This window comes from Homo sapiens, chromosome 1 (genome assembly GCF_000001405.40).
Source record: "Homo sapiens chromosome 1, GRCh38.p14 Primary Assembly".
Lineage (NCBI taxonomy): Eukaryota > Metazoa > Chordata > Mammalia > Primates > Hominidae > Homo > Homo sapiens.
Window position 1 is genome coordinate 38,056,995 of NC_000001.11, and position 24,276 is coordinate 38,081,270.

At 50.4% G+C, this 24,276-nt stretch overlaps 1 long non-coding RNA gene across 1 annotated transcript in view, besides 3 other annotated features; it reads left to right on the forward strand.

Annotated features, from left to right (window-relative positions):
• MIR3659HG (MIR3659 host gene) overlaps nucleotides 1-24,276 on the forward strand; it is a 72,397-nt gene that overhangs the window by 9,861 nt on the left and 38,260 nt on the right. The gene's annotated exons all lie outside the window — the stretch shown is intronic.
• Nucleotides 4,719-4,808: an enhancer, noted in NCBI's record as "active region_786". NCBI's record gives its function as "activates an Ori minimal core promoter by ATAC-STARR-seq in GM12878 lymphoblastoid cells {active_cell/tissue: GM12878}" and the evidence as "EXISTENCE:reporter gene assay evidence [ECO:0000049][PMID:35858748]".
• Nucleotides 5,039-5,098: an enhancer, noted in NCBI's record as "active region_787". NCBI's record gives its function as "activates an Ori minimal core promoter by ATAC-STARR-seq in GM12878 lymphoblastoid cells {active_cell/tissue: GM12878}" and the evidence as "EXISTENCE:reporter gene assay evidence [ECO:0000049][PMID:35858748]".
• Nucleotides 14,343-14,842: an enhancer, noted in NCBI's record as "H3K4me1 hESC enhancer chr1:38537009-38537508 (GRCh37/hg19 assembly coordinates)". NCBI's record gives its function as "activates a minimal SCP1, AML or CMV promoter by ChIP-STARR-seq in primed H9 embryonic stem cells {active_cell/tissue: H9 hESC(primed)}" and the evidence as "EXISTENCE:reporter gene assay evidence [ECO:0000049][PMID:30033119]".

The window sequence follows — 24,276 nt, forward strand, 5'->3', positions numbered from 1 at the left end:
TTTACCACGTTGGCCAGGCTAGTCTCGAACATGTGACCTCAGGTGATCCGCCTGCTTTGGCCTCCCAAAGTGCTGGGATTACAGGCGTGAGACACCGCACCCGGCCTGTAACTTGTTTTTTTAAATTAACAATGTTTTTGGATGTGTGTCTATTTTTTAATACATCTTATCCACTTTACCCTTTTGAAATGGCTGTACAGTATTCATTGTGTTGATGCACTGTAATTTCTTTAAAATCTACTGATGGACATTGAGATTGCAGCTTCTGCCTCTTGTCTGCAGGGCTGTCCTGGGTCCCAGGGAGTAGATAAACTCTTTGTGACCTGAAGGAGCAGAGTTCAGATCAAGCCATGGACATTTTAGGGAGCCAGTGTTCGGGTTCCCCATTCTAAGGACCACCTTGTCAGAGACTAAGCTCCCTGACTCTGGAGGAATTGAGTAAAGGCAGAGTAGCTGCTCTCAGAAATGCCGCAGGAGGATTTTTGTATCAGGCTATGCTTTGGGGGGAGCGTGGGTGGGGCCTGAGGTATAGGGAAAGGAGCGCTGGTTTTACAGCTTGGAGACCTGCTCAAGTCCCTGTTCTGGCTCCTGGCAAACCTCCCAGTGCTTCAGTTTTCCCCATCTGTAAAATGAAAATAGAGTACCACAGTAGTTCAGATCATGGGCTTGGAGCCAGGCAGACCTGATTCTGAGTGTAGGTGCTGCCTCTTACCAGCTGTGTGACCAGGGGCAATTTGCTTAAACTGTCTTAGCTATACTTAACTTTAACCCAGGAATACAATACAAATAGTTGTGTGTGTGTGTGTTTTGAGACAGGGTCTCGCTCTGTTGCCCAGGCTGGAGTGCAGTGACGTGATCACAGTTGACTGCAGCCTTGACCTCCTGGGCTCAAGCGATCCTCCCACCTGAGCCTCCTGAGTAGCTGGGGACTACAGGTGCATGCTACCACACCCAGCTATTTTAAAAAAAGATGTTTTGTAGAGATAGGGCCTCATTATGTTACCCAGGCTGGTCTTGAACTCCTAGGCTCAAGCGATTTTCCCACCCGGGCCTCCCAAAGTGTTGGGAATATAGGCATGGGCCACCACACCAGCCTACAAATAGTTTGTCCTTACATTTCAACTAATTTTTTTTTTTTTTGAGACGGAGTCTCGCTCTGTTGCGCAGGCTGGAGTGCAGTGGTGTGATCTCGGCTCACTGCAACCTCCGCCTCCTGGGTTCAAGCAATTCTCCTACCTCAGCCTCCCAAGTAGCTGGGATTACAGGCGCCCACCACAAGGTCCAGCTAATTTTTTTATTTTTATTTTTAGTAGAGATGGGATTTCACCATGTTGGCCAGTCTGGTCTGGAATTCCTGACCTCAGGTGATCCGCCCGCCTTGGCCTCCCAAAGTGCTGGGATTACAGGCATGAGCCATCGTGCCTGGCCTCAGCTAATATTTTTTATCACCTGTTTTCGCCCAAGCATTGAGGATATAGCCATGAAAAAGATAGACAAAGCCACTGTCCTCAGAGAATGTACATTCTAGAAGAGGAGGGAAGAGAATCAGACAGGAAACAAATAAACAGTTTCACAGAAGATGACTACAGATTATACTAAGAGTTTTGAAGAGACTGCATCGGATGCTATGATAGAGTTGCTGGAGGGGCCCAGATGCAGTTGGTTGAGAAAACCCTCCCTGAGGATGTGACATGGGAGCTGAGGCCTGGGGATGAGAAGGGCCAGTCACACTGAGAGCCATGGAAAGAGCGTCCTGGCAGGGAAGACTGTGAGGTGCCAAGGTGTCCTTGTGTGTCCAAGGAACAAAAGGCAGCTGATGTTGCTGGAGCAGAGTGGCAGAGGAGAGAGCAGCTGGAGCTGAGATCCAAGAGGGAGGTGATGCAGACCTAGCAGGCCCTTGTAGAACGTGGTCAGGAGTCTGATATCCTGCTAAGGGTGAATTTCTACCTCTTAGGGTTCTCATGAGGGTTCAATGAGATATGCATGTTTGGGTTTCCCCAGAAGCAGATCCCAAGATAAGGATTTGAACACATGCAGGAAAGTGATTCCAGGAAATGCTGGTAGGGAGTGGGCCTGTGAGACTGGGAGGGGAGGAAGCCCACAGAGAGAGCCTCTTGGAGCAAGTTGCAAGTTACACTATGGGTAACTGGACCACTGAGGATCACTGGGCGCCTGTGTTGAACACACTTCTGAGAGTTACCCCACTTGCTAGATGAGGAAGCCAGGTCATTTATCTACTGTCATGTCAGTCATTCTGGGGGTTGGGGTGAAGGTTAATTCTCTAGCACTCTGAGCCTGCCTTGGGAGGGCAGAGCAGGCTCCTGGAGACCAGAAGAAGCCCTCAGGCAAGGATGCAGCTGCAGGCAATTTGAAGTCAGGCTAGAGTACACTGAAATGGTAGGGCCTGGAGGAATGGGGGTGGAGCGCCAGCACTGTCTGCTACTCATGGAGAGCTTGTGGCATAGGAAGCACCCTATCGATGATAGTAATTATTGCTGATAATATTAATGGTAGTTTTACTAATGATTATTGTCATTGTGAGGGTTAAATTGGAGGATATTAATCATAGCTCACATATATTGGGTTCTTATAGGTGCCAGCAGTAAGCACTTCTAAGCACTTTACATGCTATCTCATTTCATACCTGTAGTAGCTAGTATGTAGGAGAATGCATGATGTGTGGCAGGCAGTCAGTAAATCGCTGTTTCTTCAAACTTGGAAGTTCTAGAACTTCAGGTGATGAATTTGGGACTGTTCAATGGACCCCTAGATGCTGAGGGTTCTTGTCCCAAACCTCCTGAGCTACAGGCAGCCTCCCTGGTGCCTTGAGATGCTGACTCAGCAGAGAAAGATGTAAATTCCTACCTTGGTTTGCATACAATTTACACATATTTATTTATGAGTGTCTTTGATTAATGTCAAAGTGCCTGTGTGATTTTTCTGCCAGGCTTCTGGGCCCTGCAAGGGCATGGCTGGCATCAATGTGGCTGCAGGCTCCGTGTGAGCATGTGGGGGTTCTCGGGTGGCCTGAAAGTGACAGCCATGGGTAGTGGCTGGCAGCCATAGGTAGTGGCTGGCAGCCATAGAGGGCGTGGTGAGCAGCCTGGAGCCTGTTATTCTAGCGTGATTTGGGCAGCTGGTGTGAGTCGGGGATGTCTGTTAGCATGTGGCAGGGTCCAGCCAAGGGACTGGGGGCAGGTCAGGGCTCCAGGCACTGGGGTGAGTGACTGTGGGCCCACAGTTGGCCATGGTCTTGGAGGAGCCTGGGTGGCGGCCACATTTTCTGGGTGGGAACTCAGACCCAGGGAGCCAGGACAAGCTCAGGTTCTAGGACTCATGGTGGTGGGAAAGGCTTCCAAACAAGGCAGAGCTCAGAGGCTGTCTCTGCAGAGTGCCTGCCCCCCGGGGCTGCCCAGGGCAGGAATCCTCTGCTTAGAAGCTCTGAGAAAGGGAGTGCTCTCTGCAATCAAGGCCTGGGACAGGAATTGAGAAAATCTGCCAATCAGCAAGAATTTTCTGTGTGCTGGCAGTGCCCAGCCCTGTGTCTGGAACTGTGGAGAAGATCAGTCCTAGCCTGTAAACTTTGGCAGGAGAACTGGTGAGATAAGGAGGGAAGGGCAGACCCCGACCTTGGTGGAGGCTCTGTGCTTGGCACCATGCGGTACTTACACCCATTATCTCCTTTAATCCTCACAAGAGCCCAGACAGGCAGTTAATGTCATGTCTCCTCATTACAGGGGAGAAGCAGGGATCAGAGAGCTGTAGTAACTTGCCCAAGGTCACACAGCAAGTAAGTGGAGGAGTCTAGATTTGAACCCAGCTCTGTTTCATTCCAGAGCCCAAGCACTTGACCAGTTTATTCTGCCTCAGCTAGGTGTAAAATAAGGATAAAACCAAGATCATTTAGTTTTTGTGAGTTAAATGGGCTCAAGTGTGTGGACAGCTTAGCATGGTGGCTGGCACACAGTAAGTGCTCAGTAAAAGTGTTTTTTTCTTAAGTGGTACAGCAAGGATTCTTAAATCCTGGTTCATTGCACCCTCGTGTTTGCATGGTACTGTGGTTTTTGCCAAGGCCAATTGGGAGGGCAGACGGTTGGGAACAGAGCATGACCTCTGCTGTGAGTTGAGTGAGCCCTTGTCATGCAGGGACACTGACAGCCATCAGCAGATGGGTGGGACCACCTGCCAGGCCAGATCCTCTGTTGGCTCAAGGCCCAGCCCTGGATAGGGTAGGGACACTGAGGCTGTCTAGTCAGGATGGCCTGGATATACGTGTGTGTGTGTATGTGTGTGTGTGTGTGTGTTTATGGACTTGGTGAGGGTCCTGGACTAGAGAAGGAGAGACAACTTTGGGAAGTGGGGAGCTCTCCCAGCAGGCAATGGTCAGAGCCCTTTCTTATTTCCAGCTGCAGAGATCTAAATCAGGTGAGAGCCTGAACCATGTGAAAATGTGTGGGAAATCACTCCTGGCAGAGGGAACAGCAAGTGCAAAGGCCCTGCGGTGGGAATGAACTTAATGTGTACATCCACTTTCCACAGTAGCTGTAGAGACAATATTGACTCCAATTCTCCAGTATTTGATGTAGAGGAGCTAAGTGGGGGCAGGATTCATTTATTCCTTCAACAAACATTTAGTGCCTGCTTTGTGCCAGGCACTATCCTAGATGCCAGTGGCTAACACTTATTTGGTGCTCACTGCTTCTAAGCACTTTATGTATATTATCTCATTTAGTCTTCACAGCACCACATTGAGTTGGGGAAGTCTGGGGAGACAGCTGGTCCTCCTCTGTTTCCTCTACCTTCTTCCCATCTCCCAGCCACCTCAGGTACCCAGTATGTGCCACCCAGGAAGACCAGGATCTCCACAGTGGGTGAGGTGGGGCAGTTCTGAGAACATGACTGCTGCAGGGTCTTTCCCGTCCTGACTGGGCCCTGCCTAAGCGCAGGCTGTTAGCCTCCTGGGAGCCACCCAGTGACAGGCTAGAAAGGGTGCTCTCCAGTCAGGCCTGCCTCAGAACATCCCCTCCCAGGGGGCTTCCAGTTGTACCTTCTCTGTTCCTTCTCTACCACTCAGCTCCTGGCCTCCCTCCAACCCATTTGTGTAGCTTAAGCCCTGTTTTTGGACTCTGCCTAGGGAGCCACGTTCCAGTTCAGGGCTGAGACTGCTGGCAGGGAGAAAAGAAAAACTTCCATTTTCTGATGGGGCAGTCCCCGAACACTCCCTGTGGTTTCACTAACTCTGCTGGAGGCAGCAGGGCGGTTCACACTGTGCCCGGCTGACTCTGTCCTTTCCTTACGATGATCAGCTCACAGGGCCTCAGCCAGGGCAGACTTTTCAGTTCCTAACTGCCCACCTGTGCCTGTGCACCCAGCTTGTGCCCATGACCTGGGCTCCTCACCCTCTTCCGGAGGAAAAGGGGCAGAAAAGATTAAATAGAAAATTGCTCAAAATTCAGAGGCCGTGGAACAGATCTGACAGTTCCAATAGACTTTGGTGAATAAATAAACCTGGAAAAAGGGGGTTTTCTGGGTGGGGTGAAGGAAAAGGAAGGTCTTGTATGATGGGCTACGCTAACCTGGAAACCATGGCTCCATCTGTCATTCCATTCATCCGTCTATCCATCTATCCAACCATCCATAATCCATCCTGCCTGCCTGCCTGCCTGCCTGCCTGCCTTCCTTCCTTCCTTCCTTCCTTCCTTCCTTCCTTCCTTCCTTCCTTCCTTCTCTCCATCCATCCATCCATCCACCCACCCACCCACCCACTGACTGCTTGCCTGATGCAGCCACCAGCTCAGTTATGCTTGTGGAGTAAGTGTGCTGGGAGCTCGTCAGTGTTTATGCTTTTATGACCCCTCTGTTTGTGCATTTCCTCTCCTCACCAGGTTTGTAGAGAGCTCCTTGTGAAGTGAAGTCCCTCCATCTCTGTAGAGCCAAGAGGAGGGGCTCTGTGTTGGCTGTGGGGTTGGCAGCAGCTGCCTGGCTTGGGCACCCTGGTTAGTGGGGAATCTTGCATGCTGCTGCCACTCCTGCTGCACCAGGCCTATGACCTTCAGTCCCAGCTGTGGAGTGTGCCAATGTGGTCGCCAGGTGAGCAGGGCCAGGGCTTTGCACTGCTCCAGGGGCAGGGCCTTGTTGCCTGGCAGCCTGCCCATGATGCTGAGGGGCTGCTGGCCTCCAGCCAGCACCAAGCTTTTAGAGTGATACAGTTGTATTGCTGCAGAACCTCTCCACACTACTATAGTAAACAAACAGTCTGGGGCCAGGCATGGTGGTTCATGCCTATAATCCCAGCACTTTGTGAGGCTGAGGCAGGTGGATCACCTGAGGTCAGGAGTTCGAGACCAGCCTGACCAACATGGTGAAACCCCATTGCTACTAAAAATACAAAAAATTAGCTGGGCGTGGTGGCACATGCCTGTAATCCCAGCTAATTGAGAGGCTGAGGCAGGAGAATCACTTGAACAGAGGTTACACTGAGTGGAGATTGCACCATTGCACTCCAGCCTGGGCAACAAGAACGAAACAAAAAAAAAAAAAAAAAAAAAAAGTCTGGGACTCTGGGCCTGCCTGGGAACCAGGAAGGATTGGGGTAGTTGCCATCTCTGTTCTTGGAGGGGTGGGTGGGTGGGCGAGCTTTGAACCCAGCAGCTGCTGTGGGCCTGAGAGTTGAGGCCAGTCCTCCCGACCCCAGCCAGACCTGGCTTGGACAGCAGATGTGGGGCAGCACACAGACTAGGCGGTGAGCTGTGTTGGCTGGAAGTGAAACTGCAGAGGGCCCAAAGGCAAAAGACCCAAATCAGACGGAGATAGAGATGCAGATAGAGCAGAGGGATATGGAGATTGAGGGGGTGAGGGGGGAGTGGGGGAGAGAGAGAGAGAGTCTCAGAAAGGCAAGACAGAGTCAGTGAGAGAGGGAAGATTCAAAGGACTGAGAAGAGAAGGATCAGGGGAGGGGAGTCCAGGGCAAGGGAAGAAAGCCGGTGTGGTGGGCTCAGGGAAGCAGGTCTTTCAAAGGCAGGGGATGCAGAGAGTAATGATAGCTTAATAAAAGCCCCCTCCTGTGTGGACAGCACCCTACAGCGAACAAACTTTCCCACTTGCCAAAACTCATTCAGGCCTCCTGATAGCCGGGCTGAGATGGGGTTGGAGATCTCCACGCTGCAGGATGGGGCGGGGAGCTGGAATTGGAACTGGGACTGGCTGGAGTGGGTAACACAGGGTGGGGGTGGTGAGTGGCTTAGAGACAGAGCCCCCAGCTGGGCCCAAGTCCCTGCAGTGACTGAGACTTCCCCAGCTGTGTTCCCGGGCCAGGCTTGTGCTCGCCATTCCTGCCACCATGACAGTGCTGCTTTGTTTCCTGGGAGGAGGTGCGTCGCTCTCAAGTCCCGGCTGCTGACTGTAGTGGATGCTGTGGTGCATGCTCAGATTCCCCTTCAGGTCTGAGGCGCTCGCTCCCCAGCTTCTGGGTGTGTGGGCTGTGGATGACTCACAGCTGAATCCGTCTCAGGGAATTGCCTTTGATGGAAGTGGGGGGAGAACCTTGCCCAGCGTTATTCCTCCTCCCTGGGGGCAGCCTGTATCCAATGGCCTATTGATTGTAGGAGTGGGGGAGTTGTACAAAGGCCAAGTCCCCTTGCATCAACTTGTGACACTACTGAAGGGCCATCCCAGTTCCAGAGGTCCTTGGGAGATTGGCTGAGGCCTTTGGTATGACTGCATGGCAGATCAATTTCTCCATTTGCCCAACCCTGCTTCCCTCGCTTCCTGTTGTTCTTGGGATTACTCCCCAGTAAACTCCCCCAGAAACGGTGAGGCTGTGAGATTAGACACCCAAGAAGGCCAAACTCTGGCCCCTAACAACAGAACTGGTGGAGAGATGTGAACTTGGAGCAGTTGTCACCTCTGAGACAACTCAGAGGTGGTACAGCTTGAGTGAGCAGAGCCTCCCTGGCCACAGATGCCATGTCCCATCCCCTAGCCATGGACCCCAAGGATAGGGGAGAGAAGAGGCTTACCCTGTGGGGCTGAGGATTGATCCTTGAGCCCAGCTTTGGAATTGGGACACCAGAGCCTGGGTGTTTCTCAGCCCAGAAGCCTTGCGTGACCTTGGGCATGCCCGCTCTGCCTTGCCAATGCCAATCTCACAGTCTCAGAGTATTTCCAGGGATTCTGACCTATGACACTAATGCTAACCATTGGACACCAGCCTGGACTCAGCTCAGCTCCCCTCCCTCACATCCTTGTTTTCTTTCTAATTCTTATTGACATCAGACAGGTATCTGTGTATCAGGGAGAAGTCGTAGTAGGAGGGAATGTTCATCCAGCCCTCCCCACCCTGGGCAAAACCCCTCTGTGCATTCCCAGAAGAAAATTCATAGAGAACTCGTCCCCTAGCGGGTAAGCTCAGAAGGGGCAGGGCCCTGTGCTGCCTGGCACATGAAAGGTGCTTGATGGTTTTGAGTGATGATGACTCTGGCACCTTTGTGCTCCACCAGAGAGGCAGGAGGTGTGGTGGTTAGGGTGCTGGAGCCAGACTGCCTGGTTCACATGCCAGCTCTGCCTGTCAGAAGCTGGGTGACCTTGGGTAATAAGGACAAAATGGGTTAATCTATATCAAAGTACTTAGAACACAAAATGGCCTGTGTTAGCTATTATCATTATTATTATTTTTTTAGTTGTAAGATAACACCTGATCCTCCAGGTTGTTTGGGCTGTAGATCCCATGTCTAAGAGATGCACACACACATAAGGAGTTATTTCCTTAGTGAACAAGGAGTCTCATGTGTTGCCCTGTATCCCTATAACCTCATGCAGTGCAAGCTCCTCACTTGGAAACTCTGCAGACAAGGCAGAGAGGGCTGGGCCAAGGTCATACAATGCTCTGGGCTGAGGAAGACCCAGGCCCTGGTGTCCAGTTCCCAAGCTGGGCTCAAGGCTCAATTCTCAGCCCCATAGCCTCTTCTCTCCCCTCTCCTTGGGGTCCATGGCTAGGAGACGGGACGTGGCATCTGTGGGCAGGGAGGCTCTGCTTGCTTAGGGATGGATTGTCTCAGAGGTGACAACTGCTCCAGGCTCATATCTCCCTCTGTATACCCAGTTCTGTTGTTGGGGGCCAGGGTTTGGCCTTCCTGGGTGTCTAAGGGATCAGATGAGAGGCCACTGAAGTTCGGAGGGTTAATCTCTGGCACTGTGCTTGCTGCACAGAGATTGCAGTGGTCAGGTAACTGTAAATAATAATACCAAACCATAACATTCACCCAGCACTCTCATTCCCTTCCTACCTCATTTACCCCCACGATGATCCCACGAAGTAGGACTTGCCCCTTCCACTGCTGCTAGCAGGGGCGGGACTCTAAGCCCTGCCCCTCTGCACCTGGGAACTGCCTCTTACTTGGTCTTCCTGCTGTCTCACTCCTGCCTCATTCGAGCTGTGCTATTTAGTACAGTCCCCACATGTAGCCAGTGGGTGCATGAAATGTGACTAGGTCAACTTGAGATGTGCTGTAAATACAAAATATGTACTGGTTTTTGAAGATGTGGTATAAAGAAACCAATGTAAAACATCGCTAATAGTTTTTTTATATAGATGACATGTTGAGATGATAATATTTTGGGTGAAACAAAATATATTATTGAAGTTAATTTCACCTGATTCCTTACTGTTTTTCATCTGGCCACTAGAAAATTTTAAATTATGCATGTGGCTTGAAACATATTTCTGTTGGACAGTGCTGCTCTGAAGTCTGTTATTCACACAGCAACCAGGGTTATCCTTTAAGATCTTGGTGATTATGTCCCTTCTCTGATCACAACTCTTTATTATTATTACTTTTCTTTCTTCCTTTTTTTTTTTGAGACAGAGTCTCACTCTGTCACCCAGACTGGAGTGCAGTGGCGCAATCTCAGCTCACTGCAACCTCCACCTCCCAGGTTCAAACAATTCTCGTGTCTCAGCCACCAAAGTAGCTGGGATTACAGGCGCACGCCACCATACCTGGCTAATTTTTTGTATTTTTAGTAGAGACGGGGTTTTACCATGTTGGTCAGCTGGTCTCCAACTCTTGACATCAGGTGATCTGCCCGCCTCAGTCTCCCAAAGTGCCGGAATTACAGGCGTAAGCCACTGCTCCTGGCTACTTTTCTTATTTTTAAGAGATGGAGGTCTCACTGTGTGGCCCAGGCTGTCATGCAGTGGCTATTCACAGGCGGGAGTATAGCACCCTATAGCCCTGAACTCCTGGGCTCAAGTGATCGATCCTCCTGCCTCAGCCGTCTAAGTACCTGGTACCACAGGCGTGCACCGCCATGCCCATCTGCTCACAACCCTTTACGAGCTCCTGTGACACAAGATAAAAGCCAATTACTTACCATGGCCTTCCAGACCCTTTGAAGGTGATTCACCCTCTTGCTTCCTTACAGATCTTCCCTCCTGCCATGTGTGGCTAGCACGTGCTCCTATGTTCTAGCCACACCGTAACTCCTTAAACTTGCTAAGCTTATTTCCACCCCAGGGCCTTTGCTTGCTGTTCCCTTTGCAGGGAGTGATTTGCCATCTCTCCATATGTTCACTCTCTCACTTGATTCTGATTTCTGCTAAGATGTCCCTTCCTCAGGGAGGACTTTTCTGTCCATCATAGCCAAAACAAATGCCTCTGTGCTCTCTAATCCCTCGGGCAGAACATTAGCTCTTATGTAACATTACATACATGGCCTAGGGTTTTTCATCCTGTAGTCATGAAAATCCCGTTGGCACTTGGGAAGCTCTTAGAGATACCTAGCTCAATCCTCTCTTTTTATGGAGGGGGAGATCGAGGTCCAGGGAAGGAAGAAACTTGCCCAAGTTCATAGGTATAGAAATAATAATAGCCAGCTGCCATTTATTGAACATCTGCTCTATGCTAGGGGTTTCACATCCATTCTTTTGTTTATTCCCATTATTTTCTTAGTAGTCTCTGATTTTGCAGTTGAAGAAGCTGAGGCTCAGAGAGGTTAGGTGATTTGTCTGAAGTCACATAGCAGGAGGGCATAGACTGGGATTCAGACCCAGATCTGTTTGACACCAAAGATTGGGTTGTTCCTCTGGCCTCTGTGGGTTCCCACATTCCAGGACCCAGGTCCTGTGTCTCAGGCCAGAAGATTTTCTATATTGGCTGGAGCTTCTGTGGGATGCAGGCAGTGGATGAGAAGGGAAACGACAGCAAATAGAGGAAGCACAAGTCTCTGGCCTCAGTGTTGGGTGCACACAAAGCAAATGGGAGAAGGAGGAGAGGGGCTCCCTTCCCCTGCCCCAAGGCCCAGCCAGGCAGGCCCCCAGCAGCCTGGCTGTCTCCCTCCCTTGCGGGCTGGAGCTGCCTCTCCGCCTCTGCCCGCCTGATCGGGGCAGAGCTCGGCTTCATGTATTATTAATAGCACTGCCAGCCTTCCTGTTTTCACGCTGATAACCTGCAGGGGAGGGCTGGTGGGAGGGAGGGAGCAAGGTGGCAAACCCTGGAGCTTCTAGGGTCCCTCCCCCCTCAGTAGAGCAGCTCTGCGGGGGTTGGCCCCAAGTCTCTAAAGTTGGTTTCTAGAGCCTCCCCCATCCAAGCCCACGGGAAGGGACCAGGGCCTCCTAAAGGGAAATCACATGGGAGGTTGGAACGTGGGGTCTGGGAAGGGCCCTGTTACTCAATCCATCTAGGACACCAATGGCTCAAGTCACCTTGGCCCTCCCCAGAGGCAGAAGTGCCCATGTCTAGGGCACATGGGGCTCAGAGCTGAGGATTCAGGGGTGTGTGTGTGTGTGCATGTATGCACGTGTGAATGTATGTGCGTGTGTGTGTGTGTGTGTGTGTATTTGAGAGAGAAAGAGAGAGAGAGAGAGCATGAGAGAGTGAGTGCTTGGCTCCCAAGGTCCGCTGTGATAAGAGATCTCTGAGGTCCAGCCACACATAGACTTCAGGCCATATCTGAGCTGGCCTCTGCCTGCCCCCGCTCCCACGCCTAATCTTTTTCCTTTCTAGTGCCCAACCTGGAGGCCAAAGGCAGGTTACAGATGGAGCCACCATGTCCGGGACTCTGATGGGTGGGGTGGGTAGGGGCCCGCCCCTTCGATCTGGCCCATAGGCTGGAGGTGGCTGTAGGGGATAGCAGGTGCCAGCTGTGCATCTCTTTCCAACTTCTTGTTCAGTGATGTCACATTGGTTGTTTGAAATTGGTCATGGTGGGAGGATTTACATTACAAAAATCAGCAAATGCTACAAATCAGGGTTCTGCACCCCTAGAGCCAGTTGTTAGACATTTAGTAGCACAGCTCTTGGACCAGTATGGAAGGCTCTGCTGCATCTCATCTAGAACATGCCTATACCTTTTTTTTTTTTTTTTTTTTTTTTTGAGACAAGGTCTGGCTCTGTCACCCAGCGGGGAGAAGTGCAGTGGTGCGATCTTGGCTCACTGCAACCTCTGCCTCCTGGGCTCAATCGATCCTCCCACCTCAGCCTCCTGAGAGGCTAGGACTACAGGTGTGCACCACCACACCCAGCTAATTTTTGTATTTTTTGTAGAGATGGGGTTTCGCCATGTTGCCCAGGCTGGTCTTGAACTCCTGGGCTCAAGTGATCCACCCACCTTGGGCTCCCAAAGCACTGGGATTATAGGCATGAGCCACTGTGCTCTGCCACGCCCATACCTTTTCTATCTTTTACCTCTTCCCAGACTGCTCCTGTGAAGTCTTTCCTCTTCGCTCTTGCCTGTTATTTTTCAATAATGTAATAAGAGGAGTCATGATATTGGCTAACATTTCTTACGTGCTTGTTAATTATTTTCTGGGTCTGTTGGAAGAGCTTTACAAGATTCACTTCATCTTCACTGTCATCTAGTGAGTATTATTTCCAGTTTACAGATGAGGTAACTGAGGCACAGAGAGGTTAAGGAACACTTGAGGTCACACAGCTGGTAAATGGCAGAGCTGGGACCCAGCTGGGACCCCTATCTGGCTCCATGGCTGCTGCTGACAGATACTATGTCATCCCTGCCTCCCTGCAAGGGCTGCATGTGGGTGCCTCCTACAAGTCTCTGTGACTGTCCTGGCACTTGGGCCTCTCTGACTTCCTTTGCTGTCTCCCCGGAGCTATGCACTTGGAATTGTCCTTACTGGGCCCAGGTCTCTCCTGCCCCCCCAGACTGGGAGCTGCTTGAGCTCAGTATCTGGGTGTGATTCTTCTGGTGCCTTCAGTACCTGGCCCAGGAATGAGTGCAGAGAGTACTTGCTGAATGAGCCGCTAGTGGGGGTAACCATGTGGCACAGCACCTGGCACCTGGCACACATGCCTGTGCACAATGCCCAGTAAGGGGCAGCTGTGCTTATCAGAGCCTGGGCTCCATCTTCCAGCACATTTTGATGAGTGCCTTTCATATGCCAGTCCCTGTTCCAGGAGCTGGGGTTTATCGTGGTAAATAAAACCGACAGAAACTTTGTCCTCTTGGACAAAGCTTATGTTCTGGTAGGGGAGACATCTAATAAACAAGATAAAGAATGAAAAGGTAAAGCATTTAGGGATATGTGCTCAGGGGAAAAATAAAGCAGGGAAGAGGCTAGAAAGTGTCCAGGGAGATTTTGATGGGTTGGTCAGGAGCCTGTCGGACTTCACTGAGAAGGTGCCAGTTAAGGAAGTGAGGGAGTGAGCTATACTGTTTACTGGGGGAAGAACATTCTAGGCCGAGTGAAGTTCCTGGGGCAGGAACTTGCTGGACATGTTTGAGCAACATCAAGGGGGTCAGTGTGGTTGGGGTGGGCAGAACAGAGGAGAAAATCGGTCAAGGAGTTATTGGAGTCAAGAGAGGCAAGTGAGGGAAAGAAGGGGCTAGTGGCAGTGGTGGTGTAGGGTGGGCATGGGGAGGGTTATGAGAAGCAACAGCTTTTCCTTCTGCCCTATGAGGAGCAGGAGAGGGACAGCTTCGAGAGGAGGGAGACTGTTTTCTGTAGCCGAAAACAGTCTTGCAGCTCTTGACTGGGTCTTTGGCCTCTTGTAGACCCAGGTGCAATGCAGAATTGCCTCCATTTCCCCTCTAGACTCCTACCAGCTGCTCCCCTGTCCTGGCCACAAGAAAGTCCTGCCCTAAGGGCACTGCTGGTCTGGAATGGCATCTTCCTTGTCCTCAGGTTTCTGCTGCCCTCTCTGCCTGCCCCTCACACCTTAGGGAATACTGACTCCATGGTCAGGCTCCTGAAGTGCTAACTGTGGACTGGCCAGTCTTGGAGCTCCTGTTTTCCAGCCCCTTCCCTCCATGTTCCTGAGGTCCAGCCTCCAGGCACAACCTGCCCCAAGAACAATGCAGGAGAGACCCAGGGCCTGGAGCGGCTGGCCGTGTAGGGACAAGGTGGCAAAAAAGGAAAGAGATTGGGAAGATTGTGGGTTCAGTGGGCACAGGGGGGCTGGGCAGAGGTCTCCTACCCAGCAGGAGTCTAGGACTGTGGATCAGAGGTGGTGCCAGGGCAGGTGATGTCTGGGCTGGGAGCGTGTGGACTGGATTTATTTGTCCAATGCCACACCCCACCCCAGAGCTCTAAGTGCTCAGCATCATAAATAAAACTCACCTAATAAATCTCCCCTGTAAATTTTCTGCGTAGAATTTCATTACTTGTCTTGTTTCCAGTCATTAGGTTTTAGTCCAATTCGGAGTTGTCCCGATGGCTGTGTAAATCATGCCTGCACCCTGGAGAGCGTGAACTGCAGGGAGAAATCACGCCTGGGCCTGCAGGGGTGACAGCTCAAGCCTGAACAGCTGGACCCTGTGGGGAGTCGGCTGCTTGCACTGAGCTCCTCCTATTCTCCTTGCCCTGGATGGGGAAGGAACTATCATTAACTGAGCACCTAACGAGTGCCAGGAACTTTATAAACATCATCCTGAATCCTCACACCAGCCCCACAAACTAGGAATTACTATCACCATCTTAAAGAATGGAACTGAGGCTGGAAGAAGGGAGGTCATTTGCCTGAAGTTACACAGCTCAGCTGGTTTGTATCTGACACAGTCTGGCTTTGAGCTTAGGTTTATCTGGCTCCTACTGCATCTACTGCCTCCTAGTGTCATAGTTAGAAGAGACTGTAGAGAACTTAGCACAGTGCCACCCCTTCCACAAGCATTCCTTGGTTACTAGCTAGAGTCAACCCCTCTGTTGTCTGTTTCCTGTACTGACTTTGAACCACTTAGGAGGCTTTGCTCACACCCAGTGGCCTTCCATGACTCTCTACCTGCTGTGCTTTCTGATACATGGCTCCTTGGGCTTTTGCACACTCATAGCTATGCATCTAGTTCCAGGACTATTGAGTTCTTGTTTTTCTTCTTTTCTAAACCATAAGCTCCGTGAGGGTAGCGGCTACACCTGCTTGATTCGCCCGTGTATTTCCAGGATCTAGTATAGTATACAGCACATAAAGGTGATGGATAAATTTTTTATCGAGTGACTGGATGGAATAATGAATGAATGAATGTAGTCACACCAGGGAGGAGAAGGAGGAGATGTCAATATGGCCACACCTCCTCTGTGCAGGTCAGTTACATTCCCAAAGCCCAGTGGAGGTCTGAGTGGGTAGGGAGGATTCTGGAACCTCATGTCCAGGCCCCAACTCAGTGCCAATCTTAGCTTTCACCTCAACATCAAATTTTAGCCCTTGACCCAACTCAAACTCCAAACTTAGCCTCAACTCCTAATCCATTTCCAACTCTGATCTCAGCCTCAAGTCCAAACTCAACACCTGACCCCACCTCAGCTCCAACCTAATCACAGCCTTCACCTCAGCTATAGCCCCACCCCTATTTCCATTTCAAAATCAGCTTCTATCTCAGCCACAACTTAAATACAGATCCAACTTCCACCTTAGCCCCCATTCCAGACCTCAACCCCAGCATCACTAGTCAAAAGCAGTAGCTCCTCCTCACCTGTGAGCAGGGAGCAGCCATGGTCCTCAGATGTTGACTGTCCCATAAGCCTGTCATCCTTTCCCCCACCTGCCTTACAGCTTGGAGAGGGGAGGAGTCCTGCTGGCCTCTTGTGAGAACTCAGTAATATTTTTCCACACCCGTCTCATGGTTACAGTTCACAAACCACACACATGTCCATCAGCCCACCAGGTAGATCCCCTAACCGCTCAGGGAGAGGTCTGCATTTCTTTATGTTACACTGGCAGAAATGGAGGTTATTAAATGCTTTGGCTGGTTTGTGATAAAGGGGGTGCTCTAAGCCAGCTTTTCTAAGTTTCATGCTGTCCCTAGTCTCCCTGACCTGGGTAGAAGATGAGAGGGGCCCTTGGTTCTGTGTGTGTGGGTGTAACAGCAGGGACCCCTTACCCCCAGCCCTCAGCACCCTTGGGTGGTCTCCACTAAGGGCTATGACAGAAACATTCTGAATGTTTCCCACCCTGAGCTCAGGAGAGCTTGTATCAAGAGAGAGGCGAGTGATACAGGACTAGTGAAGTGTGTGGTGGATTTGAGGAGTGTTTGGTTAGGGGCCTGGCAGCAAACAGAATCTACTCCTAATGGTTTCTATGCAGCGACTGTGATGAATGGGCTACCTACAAAGGCCTGGGTGAAGATTTTAGGAAGCAGCAAGAGAGGTGGGGCTCCAGGGACTAGCAACAGTCAGAAGCCCTTACCACCTCAAGGGCTGATGAGACGAGGGGAGGGAATGGTGTTGTGGAGGAGGGAATGCCTGGTGCAAGCCGTAGTCATGGAGAAACACAGCCACTGCTAAAAATGTTGCCCAGGAAGGAGGGAGTGAGGAGGGAATCCCTGACCTCCCTCTTCCCCTTCCCTCCAACTTCTGCCGGTGCCTCCCACCAGCTGAACCCAACCAGGGGCACCCAGGCCAGGCAGTTCCCTGGGGTCAGTCTCCTGGGGCACAGCTCAGGGCTGAGAAGGGCAGGGTGTGAATCTGGGCCAGGGGATCAAATGGAGAATAAACAGCATGGGGAGAAAGCAAGAGCAAAGGGCAGGTCTTCCAGGAGAGACAGACAGACAAAGAAAAAGCAAGGGAGGTGGAGAGTGTGTGAGAGAGGGAGTGAGAAAGGGCTCAGCCATTTGTCTGGGCAGGTCTGCGGAACTCAAATCCGGCTCATCTGCATCTCCTCAAATAAACTTCTGGGAAGTGAATGCCTGAAGCAGGCAGAGTGCAGAGAAGTCAGCAAATATGTGCGTAGTGAATTCCAAGCCTTCTGTTCCCAGCTCCTGGGAGGGGCCGCAGTGCCTTGGGGTGTCCTGCCGTGTCTCCATCGGGTCCCCTGCCTGGCTGCTCTAACCCTGAGGAATGGCCTCCATTGTGGGCCTGTGGAAACAGGGAGAAGAATCTCTTATCCAGCAGGTCTGAGGGCCACAGGAACATAAGTAACACTGAAGAGTGAGGCTGATCCCTGGGGTTTGCGCGAGCCTGCAAATGCATGATTCAACAGCACTCGCCTGGTGCCTCTGGGAGGCAAGCTGGATGAGGATGTTGTTCCCATTTTATAGATGAGGAAACTGAGGCTCATTGGGAAGGGACTTTCCCAAGGCTATGTTATGAGTTAGTTGCAGAGCTTTGAACTTGGGCCCAGACTGAGCCTGAAACCTGACCTTACACTGAGTCCCAGCCCCAGTCCCTGAACATGGTCTCTGAACATGGCTCAGATTTTGCCCCAAAAGCATCTGGACCAGGAGGTTGGAGCGGCCTGGGATACCCCCTGAATACTTTCATACTAATTCTGCTATGGACAGATGCCTGCAATCCCCTAGAGGCTTGGACATTTTCCAAAGGAAACTTTTACTGAAGAAAGATCATCTTTATTTATGAAATACTTATTCCGTGCTGGGCACCATGCTAAGCACTTTGCATGAATTATCTCATTTAATTCTCTGAACAATTTATAAGTTTGAAACTATCATTATCCTCGTTTTACAAATGAAGAAACTGGGGCTCTGCGAGTAACCTTTCCAGTATCCCACAGCTAGTACATAGTGGAGCTAGGATTCAAACCCAGGTCTCGATGCCTCTGTAGGATTTCATTGTTAAGCTGCACTGCCTAACAGGGACCAGAAATTGTAGTTTTTCTTCTTCTCCTAAAAGCAAACATCCAGGCTGGGCACAGTGGCTCACGCCTGTAATGCCAGCACTTTGGGAGGCAGAGGTGGGCGGATCATGAGGTCAGGAGTTTGAGATCAGCTTGGCCAACATAGTGAAACACTATCTTTACTAAAAATACAAAAATTAGCTGTGCATGGTGGCGCACACCTGTAACCCCAGCTACTGGGGAGGCCGAGGCAGGAGAATCACTTGAACCTGGGAGGTGGAGGTTGCAGTGAGCTGAGATTGCACCTCTGCACTGCAGCTTGGGCGACAGAGCGAGACTTCCCCCCACCCCCCCGAAAAAGCAAACATCTTACATATCCCTAACCAGGAGGGGCCACAGGTGGCCTTGATAGGCACAACTGCCAGGTCTTCCAGCCCTGGCCTGGGCCACACCTGGGCAAGGCCTAGCCAGGCTGTGATAGAGGAGACCAAAGAGTGTGCCCTTCCTCACCATGGCCCAGGGGAAGGAGAGCAGATCCAGAAGATCTGTGGGCCATGGAAGGAATATCCTTGGTCTTGCACAGGACACAGCATCTGTACTTATTCCATACATGGGTACGGTCCACAAGGTATGGGCATGCTCCACGCTTGTGAGCGATGTCTGTCTGCCTGCCAAAAGAAGCTGCTGGATGCATGCAGGGAACTTTTCCCTATCTTCCCAGTGCTGTGCAGTGCTAGGCCTGTGAGAGATCAACCAAAGCCCCAGCTCAGAACTATGGGGAGGAGAGATAGGCAAAGGGCACCTTCTAGGAAGATCTGACTAGGGCTGTGCCCCCAGGGAGAGCCCAGGTTTCTTGCTGCCATCTATTCCCCCAAGCAGACCCCTCCTGGCTCTCCCTGTACATCAATAACTCTCCTCTTGTGTCCCATCCCTAAAGGTTCCCAGGAAGGAAGAGGGGACCCTGGATCCTGACCTTACAATCTGTGGATCATGAGGTGTGCAGATGCTGTGCCTGGGAGCCAGAGACATGGCATCTTCTTTGTGATTCTGGGCAAATCCCTTGGCCTCTCTAGTCTCCTTTCCTCCTATGCAAAGGGAACTGGCTGGCTTCAGTGATCTCTGGGACTCCTTCACACGAATTTTCCCACTGACTCTCCCGCTCTGAGCCCTGAAGCTTCTCTTCAGCCTGTCCCTCCCCTCCCCCCTCCAACTTCTGGGCAGAGGCTCTGGCCATGGTGCTGAAGGTGGCCATGGCCTCTGCAGGGTCTTGGAAGACCGGAGGTGAGCAGGGTACCCACCTCAGGACTTGTGAGGGCAGAGGAAAACTACCCTAATTAAGAATTTACTATGTACTAAGCCCGGTGCTGTTCACTTTACATGCGTTACGTTGACTGATTACAGTGTCTCTTGGAGGAAGAGATTATCATGGGAAACTGTTTCAGGAACTGTGGGTTCTACACCTTCCAGGAAGCAGAAGGCTGTTCTGACTTACTTAGGATTTCAAGTAGCCCTGGCTCCCAGAGATGGTCCTGGGACAATTAAGGGCAGCTGAGAAAACAGTGACATGTAGAAATGGTTGATAAAACTGTGAGGGAACGTCTGTTGACACTGATTCTGAGCCTGCGGCCAGAGATGAATGATTGAAGCACCAGGCTTGTTAAAGCGAGAGCACGTTTGATTTCTCTCCCCTGCACTGCATGCGATTTTGCTGGAGGGAAGTTAGCAATCAGCTAATTGACATTGAATTAACCATGAAACTCAGCCCCTGCCTTCTCTCTGAAGCGCTCTCCAGCAAGACTTTATCAAGGCTTTGAATTATTGATTATTACTTATAGCTCTGATGGGGTGATTTCCTTTTATTTGTTTTCACATTGGGTGTCCTTCATAAGTGTCCCTGAGAGTGGGAGGCACCCAGATGCAGAGCTTCTTACCAGAGGAGCAGAGGAGAGAAGTCTAAGTCCAGGGAGGACAGGTCTGGACAGTCCATCCTGACCCAGAGAAATAAATCTGTTATCTGTTAAGCCACGGAGCTTTTTGTTTTGCATTTTTGCTGCTGTTACTGTAGTAAAGCTTAGCCTAATCTGACTAACAGGGACTCCGGAGGCCAGGTCCTTTCTGATGCCCCATCATGCCAAGCTTATAGGGTGTGAATGTGGCTGTGCTCCCTGCCCTGCCATTCAAACTCTATCTGTAAGGATGCTTACTCGATGCCTACTGCAATTCCTTCAGATACAGGGATTCTTCCACAATATCCAAACCAAATGGCGTTCTGGACTCTGCTTGCATATTCCTGGGATGAGAGTACATGCTGTCCTGAGGCAGTAAAAGTGCTCAGCACCCACCGTCCCCTTGGCATCATCCATGTAACTTCTACTGGTTTGGGCTCTGTCCCATGGAGCCCCACAGAGTAATTTCTTTCTTTTTTTTTTTTGGTCCCATGACAGCCTTACAAGAATCTGGAAAAAAAAAAAAAAGAATCTGAAATTAGATATCCAAGGCCTCCTCTCTTCCAGGAAACATCATTTCAACTCTTCACAACACTAAATTTCAAGTCCCATCCCTAACTTGGTCTCTTCTTGTATTGGGAATCCAATATGTCTAGGAGCCTCTGGAAATACAATATCTAGAACTGGATTTAACACTCCAGGTATGGCCTGAGAGTGATAGAGCCTAACAGACCCATCACCTTCTTCAGATTGGGCATTAGACCTTTAATGATGCAGCCTGACTGGGATGAATAGCTTTGTTCTATGGCAGAGACACATACTATTTATTGAATTCATGTGCTCCTCATGTTTCCCAGCTTCCTTGTGGCCAGGTGGGGCCATGTGACTAGTCTGGCCAGTGGCCTGTGAGCTGAAGTGATATGTGACACTCTAGGATGACACATTTGAGAGCCAGTGAGTGATGTTCCAGGCTCCCCTTCCTTGCCCTGGCGACCTGGAAGCCAAGTATTCCAGATGGCATTGCTATAAGACACAAGCAGCCTGGATTTATGAATCACCACTGGGAAGGGAGCCACCCTAAAGAGTTGCTGGACCCACAGTGAACTTTTTTTCTTCCTTTTTTTTTTTTTTTGAGACAGAATTTCACTCTTGTCGCCTAGGCTGGAGTGCAATGGCGCAGTCTTGGCTCACTGCAACCTCCACCTCCCAGGTTAAAGCAATTCTCCTGCCTCAGCCTCCCAAGTAGCTGGGATTACAGGCAGCCACCACCACGCCCTGCTAATTTTTTGTATTTAGTAGAGACGGGGTTTCACCATGTTGGCCAGGCTGGTCTCGAACTCCTGACCTCAGGTGAACCGCCCACCTCGGCCTCCCAAAGTGCTGAGACTACAGGTATGAGCCACTGCACCTGGCCCACAGTGAACTTGGTATGAGCAGAAATAAACTTTTATGTATTAAGTCACTGAACTTTTTGTTGCAGTAGTTGCTGTTACTGTAGCACAGCCTCACCAAACCTAACTGATAGGCCCAGCACACTCCTCACTCACATTGGGAATTGATTCTATTTCATCATCTGTGTAGTGCCCCATGTTAAGCCCTGTCCCTCCCCAGCTAGACTTTGCTGTGATTCTTATTTATTGGCTTTGAGCTCCATAAAGTTAGTGACCATGTCTTACTCTTTGTATCTCTCCCAGGGCCTAGTCTGCTGCACAGAGGATGTTCACATTTGTAGAGGAAGGGAGTAAGAAAAGGAAATTCTGAGTCCATCAAGATAGAAGCAGAAAATATTCCCTAGGATATTTCTCTGGAATGAGGCAATATGGACTCAAATCTCTAGTTCCATCACTGAACAGCTGCATGTCCCTTAGCCAGTTACTTATTCTCTCTGCGTTTCTGTCAAATAGTGGTAACAGTCCCAGTTTCTCAGAAGTTGAGGATGTAATCATATATTTTATAAAGACTGGCTGGCACATTGTGTTGTAAAAAAATGTCAGATGTTGTCATCACCATCACCATCGTAGTTATCACTGTCATCATCAGCGGGAACAGGGGATATTGTTGCCCATTACATCTAGGAGGGAAGCAGAGAAGAGAGTCATCCAGGAAGGGTCTCAGCCCCAAGGCAGTCCCAGACGGAGGACTTGGCAGATGCAAGATCACGTAGATGCTCTCTGGCTCACGGTCAGATATCCTGGGCCCAGCCCTGCAGCACTGTCCTCCAGAGGATGCACACCTACCCAGGCCTCCTTACCCTTCCTCACTGGACTTTCTCTCAACACATGTGTTTGGCTTGAGATGCAGCTTGTCACATGTGTCTGGCTGATTCCACTAGGACAACTCTGCTTGCTTCTGGCAGAAACCTGGACAAGGCAATGGAATATATGGGAGTCATGTCTCTCTGCTAACAGGCATTCTGTGTGTAGAGGAGGGAGGATGGCCTCTTCGAGGTGGACTGCACACATGGGCAGATGTCATCTGAAGATTTTGAAAAATTTTTGTTTGTGTACCCTACACAGTCCACCACAGACACATGTCACTGTGCAAGTGCACACCATTTTGGATGCCCAATGTCATTGTGGAAGAGAGGGAGCCTACATTTTTTGAGCACCTATTATGAGCAAGCTGTAACTGATACCAAAATTAATCCTCACAATTCCATGAGGTAGAGTTTATTATTCCCATTTGAGAGGTGAAAAAACTGAGGCCTAGACAGTGTTTGAACTGGGGACTTGAATCCAGGTTTGCCTGACTTCAGAGCCTGCCCCCTTTTATTTATTTATTTATTTTTTGGTTTGTTTTTTTGGGACAGAGTCTCACACTCTTGCCCAGGCTGGAGTGCAGTGGCGTCATCTCGGCTCACTGCAGGCTCCGCCTCCCAGGTTCAAGTGATTCTCCTGCCTCAGCCTCCCGAGTAGCTGGGATTACAGGTGCGTGCCACCATGCCCAGCTAATTTTTGTATTTTTTTTTTTTTGAGATGGAGTCTCGCTCGCTCTGTTGCCCAGGCTGGAGTGCAATAGCACGATCTTGGCTCACTGCAAGCTCCACTTCCCGGGTTCATGCCATTTTCCTGCCTCATCCTCCTGAGTAGCTGGGACTACAGGCGCCCGCCACCACGCCGGGCTAATTTTTTGTATTTTTAGTAGAGATGGGGTTTCACCGTGTTAGCCAGGATGGTCTTGATCTCCTGACCTCATGATCTGCCTGCCTCGGCCTCCCAAAGTACTGGGATTACAGGGGTGAGCCACTGGTGTCCAGCCCCTGCCCCCTTTTAATTTATTTGTTTATTATTTCTTTTTCAGGACAGTGGATACTTTTTTTTTTTTTTTTTAAGATGGAGTCTCATTTTGTTGCCCAGGCTGGAATGCAATGGTGCAATCTCAGCTCACTGCAACCTCTGCCCACCGGGTTCAAGCGATTCTCCTGCCTCAGCCTTCTGAGTAGCTGGGCCTACAGGCACCTGCCACAATGCCTGGCTAATGTTTATATTTTTAGTGGAGACGGGGTTTCACCATATTGGCCAGGCTGGTCTTGAACTCCTGATCTCAGGTGATTGATCCACCTGCCTTGGCCTCCCAAAGTGCTGGGATTACAGGCATGAGCCGCCGCACCCAGCTAGGTTTTATGTATTTTGGAGGACCCTCATCCAGAGTCTCTTCAGATTTGTCTCTTTGGGTTTCTCTTCATTAAGCGTCACACTTCTCACTTGTTCAAATACTTTTACTTTCGGTACCTTTGAAAGGCTTACTTTCAAAACAATGGTTATAGGCTGTAACCAAATGATCCTAATTAGCTGCCTTGGCCACATTTTTAATGTTTTCTAATAATTCCTGTTTCTGCAAGAAACGAATCTGGAGCCATGGTCCTGCAGAAACTTGATAATGTCTTTCTTGGGCGGTAGCTCACTGTGCAGCTGCTCCACGGCCCATGTCCACTGTGGAATGGCCGCTGCCATCTGCCCCCGCTGCCTCTTCCTGTCTTCTTTTTAATACACTGCCTACTCCCAAGACTTGTCCTCTGGCCCGATCTTCCACTGCCCTCCACCTTGACAAATGTACACTTTCCTGTCCTCCCTAAAATACATACACACACACACACACACACATATACATATATATACACATATATACATATATATATACATATATATGTATATACATATTTTTGAGACGGAGTCTCGCTTTTTCGCCCAGGCTGGAATGCAGTGGCACGATCCCAGCTCACCACAACCTCCACCTCCTGGGTTCAAGCAATTCTCCTGCCTCAGCCTCCCAAGTAGCTGGCATCACAGGCACCCGCCACCATGCCAGGC